General features: G+C 36.9%; 1 protein-coding gene and 1 pseudogene across 4 annotated transcripts, besides 4 other annotated features; one reads left to right on the top strand and one right to left on the bottom strand.

Annotated features, from left to right (window-relative positions):
- Positions 8,109-8,248: an enhancer, noted in NCBI's record as "active region_22508". NCBI's record gives its function as "activates an Ori minimal core promoter by ATAC-STARR-seq in GM12878 lymphoblastoid cells {active_cell/tissue: GM12878}" and the evidence as "EXISTENCE:reporter gene assay evidence [ECO:0000049][PMID:35858748]".
- Positions 8,360-8,906: an enhancer, noted in NCBI's record as "NANOG-H3K27ac-H3K4me1 hESC enhancer chr5:41904130-41904676 (GRCh37/hg19 assembly coordinates)". NCBI's record gives its function as "activates a minimal SCP1, AML or CMV promoter by ChIP-STARR-seq in naive H9 embryonic stem cells {active_cell/tissue: H9 hESC(naive)}" and the evidence as "EXISTENCE:reporter gene assay evidence [ECO:0000049][PMID:30033119]".
- Positions 8,659-8,778: an enhancer, noted in NCBI's record as "active region_22509". NCBI's record gives its function as "activates an Ori minimal core promoter by ATAC-STARR-seq in GM12878 lymphoblastoid cells {active_cell/tissue: GM12878}" and the evidence as "EXISTENCE:reporter gene assay evidence [ECO:0000049][PMID:35858748]".
- RIMOC1 (RAB7A interacting MON1-CCZ1 complex subunit 1) lies at positions 8,676-25,968 on the top strand. 4 transcript variants are annotated; one of them, XM_011514032.3, is made up of 7 exons: positions 8,676-8,799; positions 9,690-9,812; positions 12,068-12,174; positions 14,078-14,224; positions 15,380-15,511; positions 16,401-16,515; positions 21,348-25,968. In XM_011514032.3, the coding sequence occupies exons 4-7, from the start codon at positions 14,090-14,092 to the stop codon at positions 21,629-21,631; spliced, it is 666 nt and encodes a 221-aa protein (XP_011512334.1). In that variant the 5' UTR covers positions 8,676-8,799; positions 9,690-9,812; positions 12,068-12,174; positions 14,078-14,089; the 3' UTR covers positions 21,632-25,968. The 4 variants fall into 4 exon arrangements, with proteins under 4 accessions (XP_011512334.1, NP_787117.3, XP_047273070.1 ...); NM_175921.6 differs by lacking the exon at positions 9,690-9,812; XM_047417114.1 differs by lacking the exons at positions 9,690-9,812; positions 21,348-25,968 and adding an exon at positions 20,638-20,777.
- Positions 22,679-22,838: an enhancer, noted in NCBI's record as "active region_22510". NCBI's record gives its function as "activates an Ori minimal core promoter by ATAC-STARR-seq in GM12878 lymphoblastoid cells {active_cell/tissue: GM12878}" and the evidence as "EXISTENCE:reporter gene assay evidence [ECO:0000049][PMID:35858748]".
- LOC100419715 (zinc finger protein 626 pseudogene) lies at positions 25,055-25,559 on the bottom strand (annotated as a pseudogene).
- Positions 25,969-26,110: the final 142 nt, after the last annotated feature.

Below are 26,110 nucleotides of genomic sequence, written 5' to 3' on the forward strand. Positions count from 1 at the left end.
CTAATGTCTTTATACAAGAAAAATAAGGTGATTTAATTAAGCCATTAAAAATTGCTGGTAGTGCTTTATTTTTTCTGGAGTATATAGGTTAAGATATCCAGATCCTAATACTTAAGACCTTTGAATGTTACTTTGTATGACGAAAGGAACTTTGCAAATGTTATTAAGTTAAGGATCTTGAGATGGGAATATTATCAATAATAATCAAAGACAGGAGACAGTGCAGACTGTACTTCTGTAGTGTTTGGATGTTGGGACTTACATAGAGAATAGAAAGGAGCCAGAGAGAAATTCAGGGTCAAGAGATTGGAGAGATTTGAAGATTTTTAAGGTAGACTCACTCATTTAATATAAATGTTAATGAATTAACTCATTAGCATTTAATAATTTGACAAATATTTAAGTGTTCACTATAGGCAAGTCAGTGGTGTGTGCAAGAGATGCAACCATGCATGAGGTATTCACTCTACCCTCAAGGAGTTTACTATCTGAGGAGAATGCACCAGAAGAAACTGACTAGGGACAAGTAAGAGAACTGTTAGGCAGCATCAATGATCCAGCTCAATTTACAGTGGCAGCAATCTATGTGCAAATGAGGCTGTTGTGCCGCAGAGTTCACCACCTGAATGGCAGGGCAAAGAAACATTGATTGAAGATTTGCTGGATTTTACGGGTTAAAAGGATATGGAACTGAGAGTGCTGAAAAGATAAGGAACTGAGGGTTTTGGCTTAAGTGATCAATCATGTGACTCAAGCTACAAAAAGAGGGAACAGAGGCCAGAAGGGAGTTAAAAAGATTGGGAGAAAATGTTGCCAAAAGGTTTTCTAGATGAAAGATCTCTTATGGTATGAGATCATGAGAGAAGATGCAGTCAGAGATTGGGCTCTAGAGTTTAAGATTTCTGAGATCCACAGCATGGCTTGCTGGCTACAAGGACATTGGACTGTCTTAGGATTATGGCAGGATTTAGGGTAAAGATAAATAATTTAACCCCAGATTCACTGGCTTTACTGGATATGAGCAAGGAATCCAGAAGTGTAGTCAGGGAGCTTGACCTCATAGCCGATAAAGCATGGATTAATAGGTGTTCGCTGGACCAAATTTCCATCTAATTTTGAAAATATGGAGGCATCTTGTAATGTTGGAGCAAAAGTTACAGGAAGTAGAGTGAAAGGTGGGAGGAGGGTGGTTGTTGGAAAGAATCTTGGGAGAGGGAGTTCAGGATAGTAAGGAGATGAAGGCATGAAAGCAGGTTGGAGACTGTAAAGCTTCCACTGTATGAAGGCTGTAGGGCTAAGAAATATGCTTATAATTGACAGACTTCAAAGGATTTAACCTGGGCATAAGTTGTGTTTTTTGTTGCTGTTGTTGTTTTTGAGACAAGGTCTCACTCTATGTGTAGGCTAAGGTGCAGTGGTACCATCTTAGCTCACTGCAGCCTCAAACTTCTGGGATCAAGCAATCCTACCACCTTAGCTTCCCAGGTAGCTAGGTCTACAGGCATGTGCCACCACACTGGCTAATTTTTTAATTTTCTGTTTTGACAAATTCTTGCTATGTTGCCCAGGCTGGTCTAGAACTCTAGGGCTCGAGCAATTATCTCACCTCGTCCTGCCAAAATGCTGGGATTACAGGCAGAAGCCACCATGCCCATTCATAAATTGTTTTAAGCCGGAGACAATTATATTATTAAAGCCAATAAAGTAAAAGGAGGAAACTTTCTAGTTTGAATACAAGAAAGAGTATTTAATTCAGGCAGTTCTCTGATATTGTATTACATGACCTCTTTATTTTTATCAATTAATTGAAGATACAAACTAAAATTTATAAATGTTGTGCATGGCCAAACTACATTAATGCTGTCTTTAAATCTCCAAAGTTAATATGATCAACATTGTGCAATGGAATGGAGAGAACTTTGACTTCAACAGATTAAGAATTTAGAAAGTAGGTGATGGAGTTTTCTTGTTAATAGGCACAAAGCAGTGTTCTTGGGCTTTAACTTTGTGCTAAATTAATGGCCAATTCCTACTGATTTTACCTCTTAATAATATTTATTTTATCATGTCCCTCTTGCCCTCCTATGCTGATACTATCCTTGTTTAGGCCATCATCCTCTCTCTCCCGGATTACTTTAAAAGCCTCCCCACTGGTCTCCCTCTCTTTAGACTTAAACCTACTAGTTCATCTTCCTTACCACCAGTGTATCTTTCAGACATCTAACCTTGTCATTATCCTACTGAAAGCCATTCCAGTCTCTCCACTGTCTACAGCTGAGAGTACAAACTCTTTATCATGGCATCACATCGGCTCTATAATGTGTCCCCTATCAACTTTTTCAATTTAACTTTTTTCCTTGCTGCCAGTAGGTTCCCATCTAATCAAATGCAGTATATCCTATTTTTTAAAACAGTAATCCTCCATTAAAAAAATTACTAGATATCTGTCTAAAGTATATGCCTGTTCTGTGCTTGACAAATTAGTTTCAGAGTAATTAATCTTAAATGGGTTGGCATTTATACATGGTTATTCCACTATTGACAACTGGATTATTTTAGGAATTACATACAGTTATATTGGAGCTACAACCTTTGAATTTGTGCATAGGAATTGCTATGGATGAAGTTTCAGATGCCCAGTATGGGACACATTTTTTAACAGCTTTATTGAGATATAATTCACATCCCATATAACTCATTCATTTAAAGTATACATTTCAATGGTTTTAGGATATTCACATATATTGCAACAATCACAATTTTATTTTATTTTTTATTATTTTTTAATTTTTCACATCCTCATGAGGCATCTGACATCACCACAATTTCAGAATATCTTACCCTCTCCTCAAAAAAACCCTGTGTCCTTTAGCCATCATCTTCGTATACCCCATCTACCTTAACGCAGAGCAAGCATTAATCTACTCTCTGTCTCTATGGAATTTGCATATCATGGGCATCTAATATAAATGGAATCATATGACATGGTCTCTTGTGTATGGCTTTTTCACATACCATAATGTATTTAATATTTAGATTCTAGCATGTGTCAGTACTTCATTTGTATAACAATAATATTTTATTGTATGGTTATATCACATTTTGCTTCTCAGTTCATTGACATTGAGGTTGTTTCCAACTTTTGGCTATTATGAATAATACTGCCATGAACATTTGTGTAAAAATTTTTGTGTAGCTATATATTTGAATATCTCTTCAGTATATAGCTAGGAATGGAATTGCTGCATGTCTGAGTCTGGGTTGCTATAACAAAATACAATAAACTGGGTGGTTTACAAAAAGCCCAGAAATTTGTTTCTCACAGTTTTGGAGGCTGGAAAGCCTAAGATCAAGGCATTGGCAGATTCCATGTCTGGTTAGGGCCCTCTTATTAGACAATCGTCTTTTATCTGTGTCCTCACATAGTGGAGAGTTTGAGAGATCTCTCTGAGGCCTCTTTTATAATCCTATTCATGGGGGCTCCACCCTGGTGACCTAGTCACCTCCAAATGCCACACTTCTTAACACTATCATCTTGGGGATTAGGATTTCAACATATGAATCTGCTTCAGGGCCAGTGGGGGCACATAAACATTCAACCCATTGCACTGGGTCATATGATTACTCTATAACTAACGTTTTGAGGAACTTCCAGCTGTTTTTCAAAATGGCTGCACCATTTTACCCCACCAGCAGTGTATTAGAGTTCCAATTTCTCCACATTGTTGTCAACGTGTTTTTTTACCTGAGTTTTTTATTATAGCCATCCTAGTGGATATGAAGTGGTATCTTATTGTGGTCTTGATTTGCATTTCCCTAACGCCTAATGATGTTAAACGTCGTTCCATGTGCAAATTGGCTATTTTTTTTTTTCAATGGAGAACTACTTATTCAAATCCTCTGCATGTTTTTAATTGGATTATTATATTTCTACTATTTCATTGTAGGAATTCCTTGCATATTCTGGATACTAGTCTCTTATCATGTATATGCTTTGCAAATATTTTCTCCTATTCTGCAAGTTGTCTTTTTACTTTCTTGATAGTGTCCTTTGAAGCACTGAAGTTCTTAATTTTTAGTAAGTTTAATTTATCTATGTTTTCTTTTGTTGCTGCTTTTTTTTTCTTGGTGTCATAGCTAGGAAACCATTTATGCTATTATTTCTTCAAATATTCTTTTGACTTAGCTGCCACTTTGATTTCAGATTTCTTACTGCCAGAGCTGTGAGCAAATAAATTTCTGTTGTTTTTAAGCAACATAGTTTGTGGTATTTTTTTTTTCTTACAGCAGCCACAAGAAACTACCTCTGTTGGCCTCATCACCTTCTCTTTCTCATTTTTCCCCAAGGAAGAAATAGGTCATCTGATTGAGTGTGGCTCTAGGGAGTATCCCTTCATTCCCCTCCCCTACCTGCCAGTGGCTGTCATCAATCTGTGGTATTCCTTGGTGCATCACTCTAATCATTGCCTCCATCTTATATCTGTGTCTTCTCTTCTGTCCCTTCTAAAGATATTTGCCATTGGATTTAGGACTCACCTAGATAATCCAGGATGATCTTATTTCAAGATAATTAAATTAGTTACATCTGCAAAGACCCTTTTCCTATATAAGGCCACATCCACAGGTTCTGGGGTTTACGACATGGACATATCTTTTTGGAGGCCACCATTCAACCACCGCAATTACTCTCATGGTGGTCTCTCCATATGGAAACATGGGGGAAGGGAGAAAAGTTCTACTTTAACTTATGCTTAGTGTAGCATTTGTAAAAAATAAAAGAAAATTAAAAAATTAAAAGTCATCTATATGTGCACCCATTGTATGAGTTTATTATTCATAATTAATATTCTCTCAAATTTTGGATTCATAAACCCAGATTAAAACAAGCTTGTCTGGCACCGTGGCTCACACCTGTAATCCCAACACTTTTGTAGGCTGAGGCAGGTGGAACTCTTGAGCTCAGGAGTTTGAGACCAGCCTGGGCAACATGTCGAAACCCCATATTTACAAAAAAACACAAAACTTAGCCAGGCATTGTGGCATGCACCTGTAGTCTCAACAATTTAGGAGCTGAGGTGGGGGGATCACTTGGACCTGGGAGGCAGAGCCAAGATCACTCCAGTGCACTCCATCTTGGGTGACAGAGTGAGACTCTGTCTCAACAAAAACAAAAAGAAAAATATAAACCAAAACTAAAGCTCTACTCTGTGTACTGTTATACTTATTTTTATTTAATAAGAAATTATGATAATCTTAATCTGTCAATAGATATGGAGATAAAACATAATTTTTAATGCCTACAGCATATCCTGCTGCATAAATATACCAAAACTTATTGAATCAATCTCCTCTGACAGATATCTGTGTTATTTCCAAATGTTCACAATTATGAACAAAATTGTGGTGAACCTCCTTGTTTTATTGAGCTTTACACACTTCTCCAGCTGTTGTCTTAGGATAAATAACTGGATCAGTTATTTTTAAAGGCTTTAATACATAATTCATCCTTCAGTAGTTTGTATAAAAGTATATTCCTAACAACAGTGTATGAGACTGAGTGCTTAAGATTTTGGGTATTACCCATCTTTTTTTTTTTTTTTTTTTTTTTTTTTGAGACGGAGTCTCGTTCTATCACCCAGGCTGGAGTGCAGTGGCGGGATCTCGGCTCACTGCAAGCTCCGCCTCCCGGGTTCACGCCATTCTCCTGCCTCAGCCTCCCAAGTAGCTGGGACTACAGGCGCCCGCCACTACGCCCGGCTAATTTTTTTGTATTTTTAGTAGAGACGGGGTTTCACCGTTTTAGCCGGGATGGTCTCGATCTCCTGACCTCGTGATCCGCCCGCCTCGGCCTCCCAAAGTGCTGGGATTACAGGCGTGAGCCACCGCGCCCGGCCTACCCATCTTTTAAATTGAGTATATTCTAGTTAGGATTTTTGCAAATATATTCATGATATTTGTTTGTTGTGTCTCCTTTTGTATCATTTTTGTCACAAAGCTTGGTGTTTACCATAGAGGGCTAAAAATTAGAATCACACTCATAGCTAGAGAGAAATACTTTATTAGGAGCCTGGTAAATATGAAAGAGTCTTAACGTCAGGACTCAGTGCTCCTTGGTAGTTCAAACAGACAAGACTGGCTTAGCCTGATAGAGCCAGAAGAAATGTAGCAGAGTCTGGAGAGATTGAGCAAAGATGGCAAGGAAGAAGTTATGGGGGTAAGGGTGATTTTATTATGTTTCAATATTTTACAGTTCACTTAAACTTTGAACTAAATAAAATGCATTAACAAACATGAAGTTTCTACATTTGACCACGACATTAACTAGGGAAAGAGAACATAAAGGAAAACAAGAAAAAGACTTTGAAGTATTGGAAACACACTCCACTAAAATGTTTTTATTTTTTATTTTTATTTATTTATGTTTTGGGACAGAGTCTCTCTCTGTAACCCAGACAGGAGTGCAGTGGTGCGATCTCGGTTCACTGAAATGGCCACCTCCTGGGTTCAAGCAATTCTCCTGCCTCAGCCTCCTGAGCAGCTGTCACTGCAGTCATGTGCCACCATGCCTGGCTAATTTTTTTGTATTTTTAGTAGAGAAGGGGTTTCACTATGTTGGCCAGGCTGGTTTTGAACCCCTGACCTCAGGTGATCTGCCTGCCTACATCTCCCAAAGTGCTGGGATTACAGGCATGAGCCATTATACCTGGCCTAAAATGTTTTCAATAGCCACATTTATGGAGAGGGAACAGATAAAGCTGTGGTTGTAATAAAAGGGCCTTTTGAATATTTGACTCTAAATGTTTATTTTAAAAAGGAACCCTTGATTCAAATGGCGATCCAAGATCACTTCGAAATCATGAGCAAGATCTCCCAGACCCAAATCTCATGGCTAGAAAATGGATGACCTGATTACATAGATCCTAAGATGTCTTTTATAAAAGCCTGAGAAGAACAGTGGACCTGAGAGTAAAACACTTCTGCAGAGATAATTTGTAGATCCACAGTCAAAATATTTCAGCTGTGCCTTTGTCTGTTGCCCACATGTCCAGGTAATTCTTTTAAGTAGTTTAAGAATGGTAAATTACACATTTTCTAGGAGACTGAAAATTCCTAATCAAAGGTTAATTATTTTTTGAAAATTATTTTTTGAAAAGTTTAGTAAAATCTTCTGAAGGCTTCATTTAGTTCTACATCTTGTAGAAGATTCAGAAGGCATCAGGTGTAACCTTCTGCTCTTTTCTCTATCCATTGCTGGCTCCCTACTTTCATTTTGAATTTATCCCTATTTCCCTATTTTTCCCCCTTTGTGTACAGATACGATCATTCTCCACCCTACCTTCCAGCACTTGCCCCTCTTCAACTACCACCTTCTCCATCCCTTGTTGAGAAAGCCTTCTCTCAACTTCTTGTTTATACTTAGATTCTTTTTTTCCTCACCTACAATTCCCACACTATTGAATAATTGTCTACTCCCACAGACCACATCATATCCCCTTGCCATCTTGCTTGTTGACAAGAGTGCATATGTGCCAGGCACTGTATGAGGCACCAAGGACACAAAATACATGATTCCTGTCCTCTATATTTAGGGTGAATTGTCAGAAGAAACTGGTATTACAAAGGTCAGTTAGAGAGTCATTGTGGTCAATCACTTATAAATCACAATACACTTTTTCTCTATTTTTAGTATTTTTCTATTACATATAAAAAACTACCTTCCATGAGAAACAATAGGATGGAGATTATTCAAGATATAGTGTGTCAAACTGAGAAATGAATACACAGAGTTAACGATTTGTTTGACCAGAGGCAAGAAAGCATTCACAGAATGCAAAGTGAAGTTAGACTTGCTGACTGAGTGCTTTGAAACTCCCGATTGAGAGGATGAACCTCATGCACAATTAGCGCCTTAAGGGAAGGTCTTGAGATGAAAGAAAAATGAAAATAGTTTTGTGGCCGCAGAATTTACTACCACTGGACGCAAGATGTCTAAAGTACTTTAAATGTGAACTCCAAGGGAGGTCAGAGATAAATTCGACTGCTAAAAATCAGATTTACAAAAGCAATATTCAACCATGTAGACTGGCAACTCCACTAGTGTTTGGAGCTCCCCATCCAGATGTACAACAAACTCTTGGAGACTTGGATGTGTTACACAGGGGGCCGGTCGGGTTTCCATTTAGGACCAGGAGATTATAATCACTTTATTTTAGCAACCTCCTTACTACAAGGCCAAAACTGACAGTCCTCTCTCCAGACCCTCGCGTCCGCCCTCCAGACTGTGCTTCCCGCGCCGGACAGGGAAGTGGGAGTGCGGACGACAATCCGCATCCTGCCAGCCAGACGTCACCAAGCTGTCTTCCAAGAGGCAGGCGGAGAGAGCTGACTTCCGATTGGGTCAGCCGAGGGGCACGGCTGGCTCCCTATTGGCTTACAGGAGGGGGCTAGAGAGAGGCGTGTCTCAACGTCACACCCGCCCCTAGTCTCCTTGCTGCTCAGGATTATGGGAGGGAAGGGAAGTCCAGGAGGGAAAAATGACCCGGAAAGACCTTTGCCGGCCTGGGCCAGCCCTCTTCCGGAGCTGATGTCTCCTCCCACCAACCAGGAGAGGTCCGCCCTAGGCCCCGCCCGTGCCGGGGGATCAGGTGATTGCGGGCCAACACGGTCACGTGACCGGGGCGCACCCGCCGATTGTGGCCATGGCGGCCGCAGTCTCTAGTGTGGTGAGACGAGTGGAAGAGCTCGGGGATCTGGCTCAGGCCCACATACAGCAACTTAGCGAAGCTGCCGGTGAAGATGGTGAGGGAGCGGAGGAGAGGGAGGCGGGCGGGGCAGACGGCGCTAAGGTACTGGCGCTCGATGGCTGTGAGGGCTAGAGGCTGAGGCCTGTGTTCCTTTGGGTCCCAGGCCGCAGGTGGTTACCCGAGGTCTGTCGCTTCTGAGCCCCTCTGCGCCATCGATTGCCCACTTCCCAGAACTCACAATGCCAAGGCGTTGTCTTCGAAAACCGCATTATTCAGAACCCATGGAAAATCTGTCTAGATCCGTGCTGGTGTAAACTGTCTCGGTAGCGATTGGAAGAAGGGCAGAATCTAAATAAAATACAGAAGTTTAAATAAATGGCTAAGATGAATGATAACACTCAAATTAGTTATGGTGGTTTGCATCCTGTAAAGATAAAAAGACATGTATAACAGTTCCACTTTTTCATTGCTGCGTTGTAATTTGCGTTTTACGTTTTGGATTCAAAACAACATTCTATAGAAGAGCTTTACATTGGTGTGTAGACTATTCTGCCCCATACATCATGCCAGTTCTCACAAGGGCTCTGTTAAGTATTGGCATACTTGTTTTGGAAAGGTCTAAGCTGTTAGGAAAAACTGGGCTAGGGAATTGCCTCAACCTTCTGAATTTAAGTCCAATTCTTTTCATTACGTCTCAGCTGCCTTTAGGTTCTACATTATTCCTTTTTGAGTTTGAGCAATTACTACAGATAGTTTTTAAAATTCTGTGGACTGACTCATATCATCGGACTCATAGGAAAACAGTGGTGGAACATTTTCTTAAGCGATTGAATAGTTGGTGAATTTGTTATTAAATAGGGTCTATGATGAAATGCCTTAGTTTCAGTGAATATTTTTTGCCAGATTATCATTTATCAGGAGTGTTTTGTTTTGTTTTGTTTTTAGAGGCAGAGTATCATTCTGTTGCTCAGGCTGGAGCCCCTCTAGTAGTGGGACAACAGGCGCACACCATCTCGCCCGGCTAACTTTGGCATATTTTGTAGAAACGGGGTTCACCATGTCATCCAGGTTGGTCCTGAACTCCTGGGCTCAAGCATTCCACCCGCTTTGGCTTCCCAAAGTGCTGGGATTACAGGCGTGAGCCACTGTGCCAGGCCAGGAGTGTGTTCTTTAAAGACCTACAGACCACCCTGAAGCCGACTTATATTTTGGTCTGTGGATTCACATGAATAATTCTTGGGTAGTAGGAGCTATTAACTTGAAAGTTATCTATGTTACCTCTAATTCCAGATTCACTTGAACCAGTCCAAAGAGACCAAAGAATGTTTTTTATTCACTTATCACTGAACTAAAAAGCCATTCTCATTTCCCTTGGAAGAGTTCTTTAATCTGGAATGAATCAGAGCTGGAAATAAAAGTCATGTGCTATATATGGAATTCTTGTTTGAAGGCTTTATACTTCTGAAAATTTACTAAAATAAAATGACAATGTTAGTGGTCCACATTATGAGCCGTTGATCAGCATGGAAATCAGTTCAATCTTAAAAATATTACAAGATTTATGAACTTTAATTAAAACAAGATTTCATGTACTTGAATTGAATTTGGCATTATTTTTCCACGCAACAAGAATAATATACATTCAAACTTTGTTCTTTAATGTAATGAGTATATATTTATACTAGGATATAAGGGTTTGATGATTTCCATTGTCTTCTTCAGATTAGATGAGATACAGCCAGACATTATTTCATCTAAGAATGCGTCTTTAAATTTCTAGCCAATTTTTGTTAATTTATTTCTCATCATACAAGCACAATCTGTTTACTCTATGGAAGTACGTCATGAGGGAGTTTTTCCACAGATTATATAAGAATCAGTTTCATCTTTTGCTTTGCCAGTCATTACTTTGACTAAATAGTTCTAGTCAAAATACTGCATTTTATGGGCTTTTCCAAAGTGTGAGTTATGCCACCACCACACCCCTGCCACAGTAATTATGTCATCAATTTATGTGACATACTCTTTCAGCAATGGTTTAGTGAGTTCAATGCAAATCTTTACATTGAAAATAATCCTGCAAGTTAAACAAAATATCAACACACTCTCTAAAGAAGCACCTAAGGCATGTCATATTCCATGTAATTTCAGTTTATAGTAGAATCTTTTTCTACATTGTGTGGATGTCACTTCTGGGCTAATGAGAGGTGGAAGGACAGTGCTAAGAAGTAGATTTCAACTCAAGTGAAAGTGGATCTTACAGCAGTCAAAATGCAATCTCAGGCTTTACCTGAGAAGACTTAAGGCAGCAGTCACATGATTGCCAACAGACATAACCTGATGGTGCTTTTGCTCCAACAATGAACACCTTATCTGTGTAACTCCTGAGGCTGGATCAGGTAGGCCTACACCAAATGCTACACTATCTGTTCATTGGCCCATGAAGAAGAAAGGGATATATTTTAGAATATCAGACTATGTTTCAGAAGGGAAGCACTGAGAGGTAAACTCAGAGAGTTTAGTGTCTTGATTATGGGTGTATCTAAATTTGACTTCATGAAGTGCTGCAGAAGGGTGGATAGTACCTTGAAGTGGACACATAAGAAAAGGTGAAATCACAGAAGCAACAAAGGGATTATGACATTAGAGAAAGGGAAAAAAAATCAGGAGATGGTGAAGGCGGAGGGAGGGTGAATTGTGATTAGAGGACTTATTAGAAGTATTTAGTTCCTTTTCTTCCAGGTTTTGAGGAAATGAGGTAATTTGTTTCTAAGTTTTTAAAGGAATTAAATACACAGATGTATTATGTAATTTTAATTGTAGTAGATATAAACAATTATAAAATTGCTCATAATGCTGGCATTTTGTAAGGAATTTGATTTGGTCAATCATGGTCTTTTGAATAACATTTGCAACTACATTTATGAAATCTTAAGTTTTCAGTGGAAGCCCTTTCTGTATATTTATGTATATTATTTGTATATTCCAGTAAGTTTTAAATTTGTTTAATTATTTTGAGTGCATTATCATAAAAGAAGCATAATGAGAATACAGACTGCATTTAAGAAATGGCAAGAGTGACTCTAGAAAGTTTTCAGTATTTTGCTTTGTAGGAAAAATTTTCATGATAAATTTACTTAATTAGGATTAGGCATTATGAGATATTTCATGTTTTAGATAAGATATTATTACTATAATTCTGTTTCTCCATATGTCATAATATTATTTCATCTTGTCATTTCATCTTCATACATAATGTGTTTTTTGTTTAAATAACACTCTGAAACTAGGTGAAGTAATCCTCATGTTTTTATTTCTTATAGATCACTTTTTAATTCGGGCCTCTGCAGCATTAGAAAAATTGAAACTCCTGTGTGGAGAAGAGAAAGAATGTTCAAATCCATCAAATCTTCTAGAACTTTACACACAGGTACTGAAAGAGTGGTGGACTCTGGCATTTTATGAGGGCAGGTTGTTTATTTAGATGATTGACTCCAACTTTAGGTAAAATGAAATCAGTTTATTCTATATTTCAAGTGTTTAATTTTGTCCAAAAAACTATGAATAAAACACAAAAACTTAAAACTTTGAGGTAGTATGAAAAGAAGTAAGATTTATTAGATGTGTTAATAAGAAAAGTCAGGAAGAAAATCTTACAGATAACGGAATTGTTTTCCTTTAGAGATAATTGAACAGGACACTAGTGTGTGCAATGTCCAATCTCTTGAAAGTTTCAGAGGGAGCAGGGGAGTATATAAGGGCCCTGACTTTTTTTTTTTCCCCTGAAATTTACCTTCCCTAGGATTCTCAATATTATTCTCCCTGCTAGTGTCATGCATATCTATGTGATTTTTCTATTCACCCACTTTTTTTTTTAACTTTCCTTTCCAAATCAGGCTGCTGTGTGGACAACACCTTTTTTTCTTGGTTTTCTGAAACACTGCTGAGGCATGCTAACATCAAGAAATGTAATTTTATTATGGTAACTAACATCTATATAGCACTTTGTAGTTGATAGAGTGTTTTCATGTGCCCTTTTTGGATTGCTAAGGGATAATAAAACTGAAGTGGTTACAGAAAGTACAGTACACTTAGTTAGGCTTCCAAAGTGCCCATTTATAGCATTTAAATGCTTGGTGCTGTTCTTCCTGTTAGGAAATTTCTAAAGATAGCTTCTGCCTTCAAACACCATGGATGAGTAAGCCTAACAGCTACTCACAAACCACAGAGAACTGTTTTAAGTTTGGCAGGTATTTTGCTTGGTTTTCTTTCTGTTCAGAAGACTCTGTGCTTGTCTGTATGTGTTTTATGTCATCTCATTTTTTTCACGAGAGTGTTCCAGACATTTTAACTTACTGGAATAAGGCAAAAGACCTAGAGATACAGATTTCAATTTTAAGATCCTCTTAAACCCTATTGATGGTTCTGAATCAACAGATCACCTTTCATATGATGATGAAATCATATATGATGATCTCTCCTTACTGGCTTAGGCCTTTCGCACGATAACATTTACTCCTCATGTTCACAGAAAGTAAAGCACTAACTGGGTGCTAGGTAACGTTTCTAGTACCTTACATATGTTAATTAATTTTTTACTCCAACAAGGAACTTTGAAAGGTATTTTAGTCCAATTTATCATTTAGCCAATTAAGAAACTGAGGCTCAAAAAAGGTAAAATTGACTTGTCTTTGGTTAGTTAAGTGATTAGTGGTAGAACTGACCCTAGAACCCAGTTTCCTTAGTCTTAGTTCAATAGATTAAAAAAGGAAAAAGGATTGGGGAGTTTTAATATGCTTTAACAGCATCTCTAATAATTAGGAATACTGGGGGCTTAGTGTTTGAGTTGCATATGTTGATGGTATGCTTCCTCTATTGGGTGGCAGGATACATACGCCCCTCACGCTGGCTCTGTATTTGGGAACACAAATCCTTTGAAGGTTCAAAACTGGAAGTAGTGACCTTAACTTGATACAGCAGGCATTTAGAAAATTTTCAGGGGTTATATAAGTAGTAGAATATAATAATTACCTTTTTCATAATTATATATGATTAAATTCTGTAAATTAAAACAAAGCTCTATTTTCTTTTTTGAGGGAAAGAAAGATTATCATTAATTCAGCACTTTAGTGAAATACCTATGAAGTTTTCTTTAAAATCTTTCTCAAATTATATTTACATCTAGACATTTTGCCTACTTCTCAAATTTACATACTGAGCTAGAAGATTTAAATGTGTAATAAAGCACCTATGTGTGCAAGGTTAGACTGTAAGAATTGTTTTTTTTCAATTTTAAGTCATTGATAGATATCTTTCTTTTTTTTTTTTTTTAGGCTATTTTGGACATGACATATTTTGAGGAGAACAAGCTAGTAGATGAAGATTTTCCTGAAGACTCTTCTTCACAGAAAGTAAAAGAGCTGATTAGTTTTCTTTCAGAACCAGAAATTTTAGTAAAGGAAAATAATATGCATCCAAAAGTAAGTTTTACATTCCTGTTAATTATGATGGAATATTGCTGGTACTTGCTGTCCTGCTTTTTGGAGTCTATATTTTTTTCTTCTTGATTGTATCTTTGTTTCTTAAATTAAGATTGGAAGAGGGAGATAAAAGAGCTTAACACTTCAGACCAATGTTGCAACAAAAGTATCATATTTTACTAAATGTATTTCAGAATATTTGCATAATAGAATTGTAATAGCTGTGCCTAATCATTTTTTTTAATATAGATATTCCCATTTCGACCCCCTTTACTTTTGCAGATGCTGTTTTCTTGAAGGTCACTATTAATCTAATTACCACGTCTGTTCTTACAGTCCTTATTCTCTCGAACATTTGCTCCCCTTCTTAATGTTGATCACCCCCTCCCTCTGAGACCCTGCATGCTTCTTTTCCACTTCTTCATCTCTGAAATGTCTTCTCTTGCTAGCAACTGTTCTGCCTTCCATTCTAGAAACACAGGTACTAGCCAGGGATGTCTCTTTCATCACCGATAGTCTCTATTCTGTCTTTGCTTGATAACCTGTTCACAGGCTTTGTACTGTCATCTCTATTTGGATAATCCTATGATTTGTATATCTAGTCCTGGATACTCTTTGAAGCAAATAATTTCTCATCTTTAACTGCCTGCTGACTGTTTACTTAGATATATTTTTTTTCTCTATTTATTTATCAGGGGAGGCTGTGGAAACATCTCCAAATTTCAATGACAAGCCACTTTAAAAATTTTGATTTATTAAAATTATTTTTGGGTGTAAATTTTCATTATTTTATTCCAGCGGTAGTAGAAATAGATATGATCTCACTTCAAGTAATGTATTTGTGAAAAGTTACCTTTTTAATGAGATGATGACTGCTTATATTGCAAACCTGTTAGGGGAATTTGCTAGTAAAAATATTTTTTAAATTATTTTGTAAAACTACTAGTAAATTGAAGTTATTTTAATTTTCATGTATTAATAGAATTGCATATTTATAATTGATTGAAAATAAGGCCTCCCTGTGTAAGCAGCTAAACAAAGGGAACATTTTGTGACTTGAGAATGTTTTTAATCGATGAGTTTTTGAAATTTAACTTCAACTTTTATAGACATCCAGTTTCCCTTTTTAGCTATGTCTTTTTTTGTGTGTTTCAGCACTGCAATTTGCTTGGGGATGAGCTACTGGAATGTCTCTCTTGGAGACGAGGAGCCCTGCTGTATATGTATTGTCATTCTCTTACCAAAAGAAGAGAGTGGCTCTTAAGAAAATCCAGTTTGCTTAAAAAGGTAAGAAGACATTCCTTACACATTTTTCATTGTTGACATTTAGAGGTTTCAAAAAGCTGTCTTTGTTGTACTACTAAGAGTAGTGGATCAAAGGGTCTGAGTTTGTATTCTGTGTCTTTTATTTACTAGCTGGGTAATCATAAATAAATTGGGCTTGTTGTGAAGACTAAATCAGATAACATGTGAAAGCACTTTGTAATCTGCGAAGTTCTTTTTTTAAGGATTTGTATTGTTTTAAATATAAGATAAACTATATTAATTTCTAAACTTTTAAAAAATTTTTGTCCTGAAAGAAACACTTGACTGTGAGCCTGTCAGCAGATCACTTCTAAGGAACTCACATGACCCTGCTTCTAGAAAATTGTGGCCCTCTGATTCACTTGACCATTATGACTGAATCATTAAATCCAAAATATGAGTCTTGGTATTGTATCACTAAGGATTCTAACTTGGGTTAAATGTACACACAATTTAGGTGGGCTTGAAATGCGAGGCCACACTTGCAGATATAAAAGTTTGATCATAATATTTCTAAATTATAACCACATACATGTTTTTAATACATTGTTGTTGAGCACATCTTTATTATCTTTATTCTTTTCTTCCTCTGATAACATCTTTAACAAGTATATTACTGAAATGTGTTTCTGGTTAATGTCTTCTTTTTTTTTAGTACTCTTTTTTACTACTAGAGCATTTCAAGGGGTATATTTATATTAGCAGAGTCTTGGGATGGTGGGTCTTTATACCATTGAAATAGAATAGCTGTAAGCTATGCCTATATATTAACCAATTTTCTCTTGAGTAAAGAATGGAAAATATTAGTATTTGAAGTTTATATATCTCTGCATATAATACTTTCAATTCTTTGGCTCTGACTTTTATTTAGTACCTTCTTGATGGAATCAGTTACTTGCTACAGATGCTAAATTATCGATGTCCTATCCAGTTAAATGAAGGAGTTTCTTTCCAAGATCTAGACACAGCTAAATTACTGAGTGCAGGTAATGTGATCTCTCATTAAATTTTCTAAGTGTTTTAAAGCTTCTTAAGATTTTAGGAAGTTTGTTAGATTTCACTCTGATTTAAATAAATGTCAAGGTAGATTATAGACAAAAAAGTAATAAGTAATAAAGGGTTTATATAAAATTCAAAGATAAAATCTTTTGATGTAATACAGAAAAATATTTCTAATCCCTTGTGTTTAGTAATTTTGGAAGTTATGTATTGTGTTCCTTCTGCTCATTTTGCATCCTCACACAGCCCTGTAATTAGTCTGTTTTCACACTGCTATAAAGATACTACCTGAGACTGGGTAATTTATAAACAAGAGAGGTTTAATTGACTCTCAGTTCCACATGGCTGGGAAGGTGTCAGGAAACTTACAATCATGGTGGAAGGGGAAGCAGGCATGTCTTAAATGGCAGCAGGTGAGACAGAGCATGTGTGAGTGCAAGAAAAACTATCATTTATAAAACCATCAGATCTCATGAGAATTCACTCACTATCACGAGAACAGAATGAGGGAAACCACCCACATGATCCCGTCACCTCCCACCAGCTTCCTCCCTCAACACCTGGGGATTATGATTCAAGATGAGATTTGGGTGGGGACACAGAGCCAAACATATCAAGCCTCTGTCAGCATATTATCAGTACTAGATTTGGCTACTTGTAACCGAATGGAAGTAACTTTTCAACAAGGTAGACATTTAGTGATCTTTCGCACAGTAAAGGTCCAGAGCTGGTACAGTGGCTCCATCTCATCATGTTCTTACCTTTTTCCTCCATTCTTCTTTAAAACCAGACCCCCTCTTCATGGGGAGGCACTTTATATAGAACATAATATAAATGATACTTTCCAGACTGTGCAGCATGCATCTCTGTTTAGGACATTGCTTTTATTCTCAGTATCCCAAGATGTTCCTGGAGCTCCTTCAATCTCACCTGTGTTTCAGGCTACAGGAATGGCAAAAGGGAATTTCAGCCAAGTCTGTTCCTTTAGACCATCATTCTCAGAAGTTTCTTACAACCTCCATTTCACTGGCCAGAATTTAATCAGATTACTTTACTTAGCTATAAGGAAACCTGGGAAGTATAGTCCTTAACCTGATACATTGCCATCCCAAATAAAATTAAGATTCTTTACTAAGAAGGGGGTATTGGGGAGAATGAATACTGGTTGGCAACTATAAATTTCTGCCACAAGCGTCTGTGTACTTGAAAATTCTAGGAACTGAATATAGAGCATCATCTGGGTTTTAGACTTGTGTGTGAGGAGAGAAGAACCACTTACTTTTACCATCTCCTTATAAATGGAAGAACTGAGATCCAGGTAAATGCAAGTGAATTGTTCAAGGTCATATAGCTGCAAGTAACATTAGATCACATGTGTAAACCTTTTTATACTTCATCTGAAGTTTTGATGGGAAAAAAATGAAATGTGAAGAATAATTAGAGTACCTCTTTGGAAATATTCTAGTATATTAAATATGTTTTAATTCTTCCTGTTTCTTTGTTAGCCTCTCCTGGATTGTTCTATTTGAAAGCATTTCATAGAAAAAAAATAGTGATTTAAGTGACCTGATGGCCAAAAATTATTACTTTCTGCTCATTTAGACAAATATTTTATTCTAAAACAACTTATTGTGAATACAAAAAGCTCCCTCAGTGGGCATGACATTTTGACAAACATAGGATATTTGATGTAATTATGGCAAGTATATACTAGTTATTAGTTATTTCAGATAACTAGGAACCAATCAGAGGCATTGAAAATGGCTTTTAAAAAATTTCTATTTATACACATGGACTGATTAAATTGAATTCTTAATGTGGGACACTTTAAAAGAAAAAGGTGGGGGTAGGCACTACAGCTCATTTAGAACCAAAGGGAGTGGCACAAATCACCTGTTTTCCTAATTCTCCCATTTCCAGTTATAAAGTAAGACATTCTCATAACCTGGAGTTTTTTCTTCAGGAAGCATGTAATATTGGTGGCGTCTCTTTGTCATACTTTGAATTTACTAGCTCCTAGTTTCAGTTGGTTCTTCAACAAGGGAATTAAAAGGGTCAGATAGGGTAGCATTTTCCAGGCAAAAAGACACAGTATAGGCACCATAGCAGTTTGCTACATACTGTCCTAAGTCCTCTTAGGGTGTCGGCCTTTTGTTCTCATCTAAAGAAGTTTGCGCTTGAACCTAGGAGGCGGAGGTTGCAGTGAACCAAGATCTCACCACTGCATTCCAGCCTGGGGGATAGAGCCAGACTCTGTCTCAAACAAAACAAAACAAAACAAAACAAAACAAAACAAAACAAAACAAACATAAGTTTGCCTCCTTTAGGAGGCCAAGGCAGGATGATCACTTGAGAAAACTGGCGCCAGGAGTTCAAGACATAGTGAGACATCATCTCTGCAAAAACTAAAAAAAAAAAAAAAAATTAGCCAGGCGTGGTGGTGCATGACTGTAGTTCCAGCTACATGGCAGGCTGAGGTTGGAGAATCAGTTGAGCCCAGGAGTTTGAGGCTGCAGTGAGCCCTGATCGCACAGCTGCACTCTAGCCTGGGTAACAGAGTGAGACCCTGTCTGAGAAAAAAGAAAAAAAGGCTGCTTTGCCCAAATGTATCTATCTGAACACGATTAGATTAGAAGCCAGGAAACCTACTTTTCATAGGCTGAATTACTCCTAAGTCCTAATTTGAGAGGCTCAAATTATTTTTTGTTAGTCCATATAAAATACAATTCTGAGTAATTCTTAGCATTTAGGGAGAAAAGTTCTATATGAGACATCAAATTTTCTGTGGCTAGATCTTGGTGATAATTTACCTAATTTTAGATAAAACTCAAAACTGTGTATGGTTTTTGTTACTTTTTCTAAGGTAAGATAATCATATTGTTGTTTAGACATTATCTGTATATCATTAAATTTTATGCAGTAAGCCCTTGTATCTCACCTCTGAGTCTCATTCTTCTGTGAAATGGGGCCAGAGAATTTTAATCTTTGGACATGGCCTTATCAGATAAAAGGGTTATAAAAATTGCATTGTCAGAATAAACCTGGAATCACATGGAGGTAAATAAAAAACTGTCCAACTTTTACACCCTTTGTTTATGCCCTTAATACCACTGAGGAGCCTCCCACCCCTACAAATCAGAGCTGGTATCACAAAAGGTTGTATGAGTGGGAGGAGTGTGATGAAGAGAGGTTGGGTTAATGGGTACAAACATACAGTTAGAAAGAAGGAATAAGTTCTGAAGGCAAAAGTTTGAGAACCACTATTTATCATATAGCCATTTGTATTAGTCCGTTTTCATGCTGCCAATAAAGACATACCCAAGACTGGGAAGAAAAAATAGGTTTAATGGACTCACAGTTCCTCGTTGCTGGGAGGCCTCATAATCATGGCAGAAGGCAGAAGGCACTTCTTACATGGCGGTGGCAAGAGAGAAGGAGAGAGAAGTGAAAGCGGAAACCCCTTATAAAACTATTAGATCTCTTGAGACTTATTCATTACCACAAGAACAGTATGGGGGAAACCGCCTCCATGATTCAGTTATCTCCCACTGGGTCCCTCCCACAACACATGGGAATTATGAGGGTACAATTCAAGATGAGATTTGGATGGGGACACAGAGCCAAACCATATCACCATTCATTCAGCTATTCTGCTGAGCCTGTTGTTTCTCTTGCTACTCTTTATAAGCAGAAATTGAGGTGAAGTGAAGGTGAAAACTGTAGGAACAAATTTTGATACTTTAAAAAGCTTGCAATAGATTCAAACAGAAACTACCACTATTTTGAAAGTTGAATTTTTCATATCCAGTGCCATCATAGTCACTTTTGTTGAATCATATTAGGTGAACAACAGACATTGTGATGCTCATTTATTTGAAGTAATCTTTTCTAATCACAGAAGCACATTAGAATCCATCATTTATTTTTTCTTCAATGGCTTTAAGAAGTTACATTTTTATTTCTTTTATGTTCTTTAGGAAAATTCAGGAATTAAGTAGGGGATGCAAACTCCTTATTTTTCAGATTTAAAACCTGAGATTCAAAGAGCTTTGGTGACTTGCCCAAAGACACAAAGCCAGTAATTTATACCCAGATCTTTTTTATTCTAGGTTTATTTGTCTTTCTGCCAAATTAATATACTTTATGCACCATAAATATTTAATTATATAATTGCCTACTGGAAAAACTACCCATAAGAAGAAAGAGTTCAACTTTTGATGAAAATTCTGCAGCATACTCTCTTTTTTTCTGGTAATACAAAGCATCTTGGAAATAACACCTTTAATAATTTAAAATTGTATGGACTCTCAGGCATGATTATGCATGATAATTTCTTAGACTTTTAGAGAATATAAGAGGTCTAGGATACTTGACTTTAGCTATATGAATTATCCTAGAGCATACCCCAAAATAAAGGGTGTGTCCATGGATGTAATTCAGGGAGTTTATAAGTACTCTGAAATTGACTGCAGAATTTGGGGTGTATATTCTGGGAGAAGTTCTATTCCTTAAATTAGATTCTCAAAGAAGTTATAGAGTGGACCCCAAAAAGGTCAAAAACACCTAAATGGTTCTCTAAAAAAATTCTCTGGTACTCTGTTTTTCTTTTTGTAATGGGCCTCCTTTATCAGTAAAATCGATATTAAAAAATGCTAATTAAATGAAGATTGTGTTAGTCATATTTGGCTTTTGTGTTACTGTTAAAGTGAGAATAGAAAATGCTTAATGACAAAAGGAACTTTAATTAGAGTTTAGTTAATAACTACGGTTTCTTTTTAAGCTTTTAATTCTAATCTGTCAACCTAAATGACTTTCCCAGGAATATTTAGTGACATTCATCTGCTGGCTATGATGTACAGTGGAGAAATGTGTTACTGGGGATCGAAGTATTGTGCTGATCAGCAACCAGAAAATCATGAAGTGGATACTAGTGTGTCTGGAGCGGGCTGCACTACATACAAGGAACCCTTGGATTTCCGAGAAGTAGGAGAAAAAATCTTGAAAAAGTATGTATCTGTGTGTGAAGGACCCCTGAAAGAACAAGAATGGAATACAACGAATGCAAAACAAATTTTAAACTTCTTTCATCATCGCTGTAACTAGTAAGTTCATCTAGTCCTTTTCAAATAGAAAAACAACAAAACCCATGAAATGGAAAAGAGAGTTCCAAAAAAGAAGACCTGTTGATACTGAATATGAGAACATTACACTGCATAAAGATATCCAGCTTGGGTACCCTACTAAAACAACATCACCATCTTTTTCATTATATATTAGTAAACCTATGAAGGGATGATTCTTTAATTTCTAAAGTGTTGTTCAAACTCACCTTAAAATACAGATGTTATGTCACTAATAATGAGTAGTAACCCAATTTAGCTTTACAAAGATTTTTTCTATTACTTTTTTTTTTTATTGTGGTATATGTAACACAAGTTTACCATTTTTATCATCTTTAGATTATTTTTAAATCTCACTACCTTGAAGTTTGCCATGCTTCAGAAATTAAAGTCAAGTTACTTCACTGCTTTGAATACATACTATGGATATAAATGTAGGCAAAATGAAAGATTATGACTAATATTCAGATTCCATTTTCAATAAGGTAAATAATGAAAGATCTCACAAAGGAATCATTGTGTTTAATTATTTTGCCATGTATTACTAATTGTATTTAAAATTTCTACTTCCCTTAGGCATTTTATAAAAATTTAAAAATTATTTTTCTATTTTGTTTAAAAGACAATGCATGGCTTTTCAAGTGAGTAATGAAGATAAAAACCAAGCTAGGTTAGTCTACCATTAGTTCATATGTTTTTGTAGCACATCTTTTCATAACATACTGAAATTTTAATGTTTTTTGCCTTTAATAATAGGGGTGAGTGTTAAAGGCCAGAGAGCCTAACTTGATATCTTGCTCATGGTCTTTCTGTCTACCTCAACTCCTGTTGTCATCTTTGGATGATCTTTCTGATACCTTGCTGATACCTTGGACTTCTGCCCAGTGACTTTATTACATTCCAGCAGCTTACTCCCGTGGCCGCACTTTGAATGTCACCACCTTGAGTTTCTCTTTCTGGTAAAATTTCAGTAACTGATAACTGCCCTCTTTTCAGTTTTTTCACTTCCTTATTTTATTGACTTTTCTCTCCTTTATGCTCATTCCACATTCTTCAGTTCCTTCTTACCCCCTTTTCTTGACTGCTCCCCTTCCTCCTAAACTGTCAGCCCCTTTCAGGCTTTCTTCCCTATCCACCCTCAGCTTTATGGGATACTATATGAACTAATCTCACCAGTTATTCTTCTTTCCCTGGTCTTTTAGTCTAGTCCTTTGGCAAGCCCTCAACCTCAGATTAATCCTATTTATTATCTACCTTTTCGGGGATGCTGAGTTCTTTGTGATGGGTAGTCCTTCAAAGTAGAATCACTACAAGTGTCTCACTTCAGCCTTAGAAAAGCCCTCAATGTAAACCTTATGTTTGTTACTAGGGTGGCCTCTCTCCCATTTCCCGCTGTGGCTGAGCCAAACTTCATTACTTTCCTTAGGCCCTCTGCCCCTCCCCTAGCATATGGCTCTTTCTCCTATTGAACAGAAAATTGAGACTATGAAGAGGTCAACTTGTATTTACCAACTTTACTCATTTTCCCATTTTAGAGGAAAAGAGGTTGCCTGCTTCCTATCAAAGGCGACTCTGTGCTACATGTTGGTTTCATCTTCGCTGTCTCTCTCATTTCCCCACAAAGTGTTGTCTCACTTTCTGCCTACCTTTTAGGTATTGATCTTCACTATATTTTTTTCTCTCTCTCTCTTTTTTTTTTTTACTTTACATATTTTATACAATGTCATTCATAACTATGGCTTCTTTTACCACCTGTAATAACAGACTGAGTCTCAAACCTGTAACTTGTATCCTGACTTATCTCTTGCTTTCTAAACCTTGTTTCTAACTGTCTATCAAATATCTTCATTAGACATCCCACAGTAATTTTAAGCTCAGTGTTTCCAAACGTCAAGTCCTCATCTGTTATATAAAATCCTTTCTGCTTTGTAAGTTTTCTCTTTTTGGGATTTTCCGCAGATCAGGGCAACACAGAATGACTACCTTCCCAGCCATGTCTCTGCAGTCATCCTGTGTAATCATGTTCTAGTCCAGTGTTGCTCAAACAGTTAAAATCCAGGCTGCTTTTGGTAAACATACAAATTCTGATATAGAGCCTCTGTGGCAAAGGGAATTTCTCAGTTCCTGCCCCAGCCCCCTTGTTTATCATTACACAGCTAAGATTTTTATTTAACTTAGCATTTTAGCAAGTTTTCTTATGAAAATACCTTTGTGCTTTCTAAGTATAAAGATTTAAATTATTTTTAATACGGTTTTTAGAACCACAGACTATCCCTCTTTTTAGAGCATCCTGATCAATTGCAAGTACTTCCACTTCTTCCCTAAATGCGCTTTGTGTGTTTTCCACCTCAGTAGCCTTGCACACATCATTACTTCTGCATCCTTCTTTGTGACCAAGTGAATACCTACCTACCTCTTAGGACTCAGCTTCAGTGATTCTGTTTTCATAGGCTTTTTAAAGCCCTTTTCAGTCAAATTAGATGCTCCTTTGTTCTGGTCCTTTACTCTTCCCCTCCCATGTTGTCGCACTGATCACACTGCTTTGTAATTATTTTCTTTATTGTTGGTAAACTCCATATTTTAAAAATTTACCTGTATACATAGTGCTTAATGCATGGTAGGCCCTTAGTAATGTTTTTGAATTAATGAGGCATGATTCTAAATGCCAAACTTTGCACAAAAAGTTGTTGCTATTGGATTCCAAACTGCTATGCCCTCTATACCAGTGGCTGACAAGGCATATAGGGATATATGCCATCCTGAGAGGAGTAAAGTGTTTAGATTCTGAACCTGAGAAAAGAGAACTTTCTCTTAAGAAGTTGGAAACTTCATTTTACCTTCGTGACCCTGGTAGACCACTTGGTCTCACTGGTTGGTACAATTATGAGGGTAGTACTGGGTGCTTTTTATACAACTTTCCATCCCCCACACAGTTGGAGAATAATTTGTAGACCATGGCAGTTAAAATGCTTTTTACTCTGGTGTATTATAGAATAATGAACACATTTTTATATATGTTAAAGCCTGCTAAATCATTCACTTAGAATGAAGTAACCTCAAGGTACCAAATACCCCACATAAGGAAAGTACTACACTAAATTCACTCAACTATTGTATGCCTACCATATGCCAGATTTTATCCTAGACCCTGAGGATATAGCTTTTTAAAACCCCCTCCTGTTTCAGAGCTTATATTCTAGTGGAGGAAGTTAGACAAGCATTTTAAGTAATAAATGTATAGAGAGTGTCAAGTGATGAGTACCATGAAGAAGAATAAATGAGGGTAAGGGGCTAGTGTGATAGGGAGAGGGGTGGGATGCCATCATATTTAGGGGTGGTTGGGAACTGTCTACTGCTTTAGCATTTGTGTCTTCAAATTTCTCTCCTTTGGTTATATACCTTGCGTATTCCGCACATTGATAAAGTTTCTTTCTTACAGAAGTTCTGATATTGAATTAAGGAATGGGTCACTACTTAAGACTTTATCATTTCAGCTACACATAAAAGGTTTCTCTCCCCTATGGATTTTGCTAATGGTTGAGTGATACCTAAAGGCCTTGTTGCATTTTTTACACTTGGGGTTTCTCTTCGGTTTGAATTCTCTCATGGTTACCAAAACTCTGTTAAAGGACTTTTCACAGTCGTTAAATGTGTATGGCTCTTTCCCAATATGAATTTTTTTGATGTTAACTAGGCTTTTAGACTTAGTTAAAGACCTGTGTGCTCTGCTGCATTTATAGGGTTTTGGGCTGCTGAGAATAATTGATGCTGATTAAGGTGCAAATCATGACTAAAGACTTTTCTTTCTTCTTTTGCATATAGTAGAGTGAGGTGAGGGTCGTGGCTAAAACCCCACAATAACTTTACATTCCTAGCTTTACAGTCTTGCTGTGAATTCTCTGGTGTTCATTAAAGTGTGAGCTGTGTTAAAAGGCATTCTTAGATTCATTTTAACCACATTTTTAAAAACTCACAGTTGGTTAACATGATGGTTTCAGATTGCTTGCCTCTTTTCTCTTTCTACCTTACAGGGCTCCTTTTCTAGCTTAAATAAGGGTACTCCATCTGCCACAGAATCCAGGATTCTATAGTTTTTTAGTTTCACTTCCCTATGTTCTTTTTTTTTTTTTAATTTTTAACAATGAGATGATACCATGTTACAGCGGTATTACATTAAGATACATTTAATATAGCCACAATTAAAGTATGTATTATGTATTTATGCTGGTGTTCTTTCATGTTATTTCTTCTAGTGAAAATTTCCAAGTAAACTGTTATTGAGCATATACATTTTTAAAAAAATAAAACCATACACCCCTACTTGTTGCTTGTTTTATATTTGGCTGTTGCATCAGAATTAAAACTTTTATCATCTCAGTTTACTATTTTAACTTCTGAATGTTATTTCTTCTGGTCCTAATAACTTTTAAAGATGGGGTAATATAGTGGTTAGGATTCTGAG

This window comes from Homo sapiens, chromosome 5 (genome assembly GCF_000001405.40).
Source record: "Homo sapiens chromosome 5, GRCh38.p14 Primary Assembly".
In the NCBI taxonomy this organism is placed as follows: domain Eukaryota; kingdom Metazoa; phylum Chordata; class Mammalia; order Primates; family Hominidae; genus Homo; species Homo sapiens.

Excerpts from the sequence above, each read along its gene's own strand:
- RIMOC1 (NM_175921.6), top strand. The coding sequence starts at position 8,700 with ATGGCGGCCGCAGTCTCTAGTGTGGTGAGACGAGTGGAAGAGCTCGGG. Across the intron at positions 14,225-15,379 it reads AAAATAATATGCATCCAAAA|CACTGCAATTTGCTTGGGGA; the intron begins GTAAGTTTTACA and ends TGTGTGTTTCAG. Across the intron at positions 16,516-21,347 it reads AGCTAAATTACTGAGTGCAG|GAATATTTAGTGACATTCAT; the intron begins GTAATGTGATCT and ends TGACTTTCCCAG.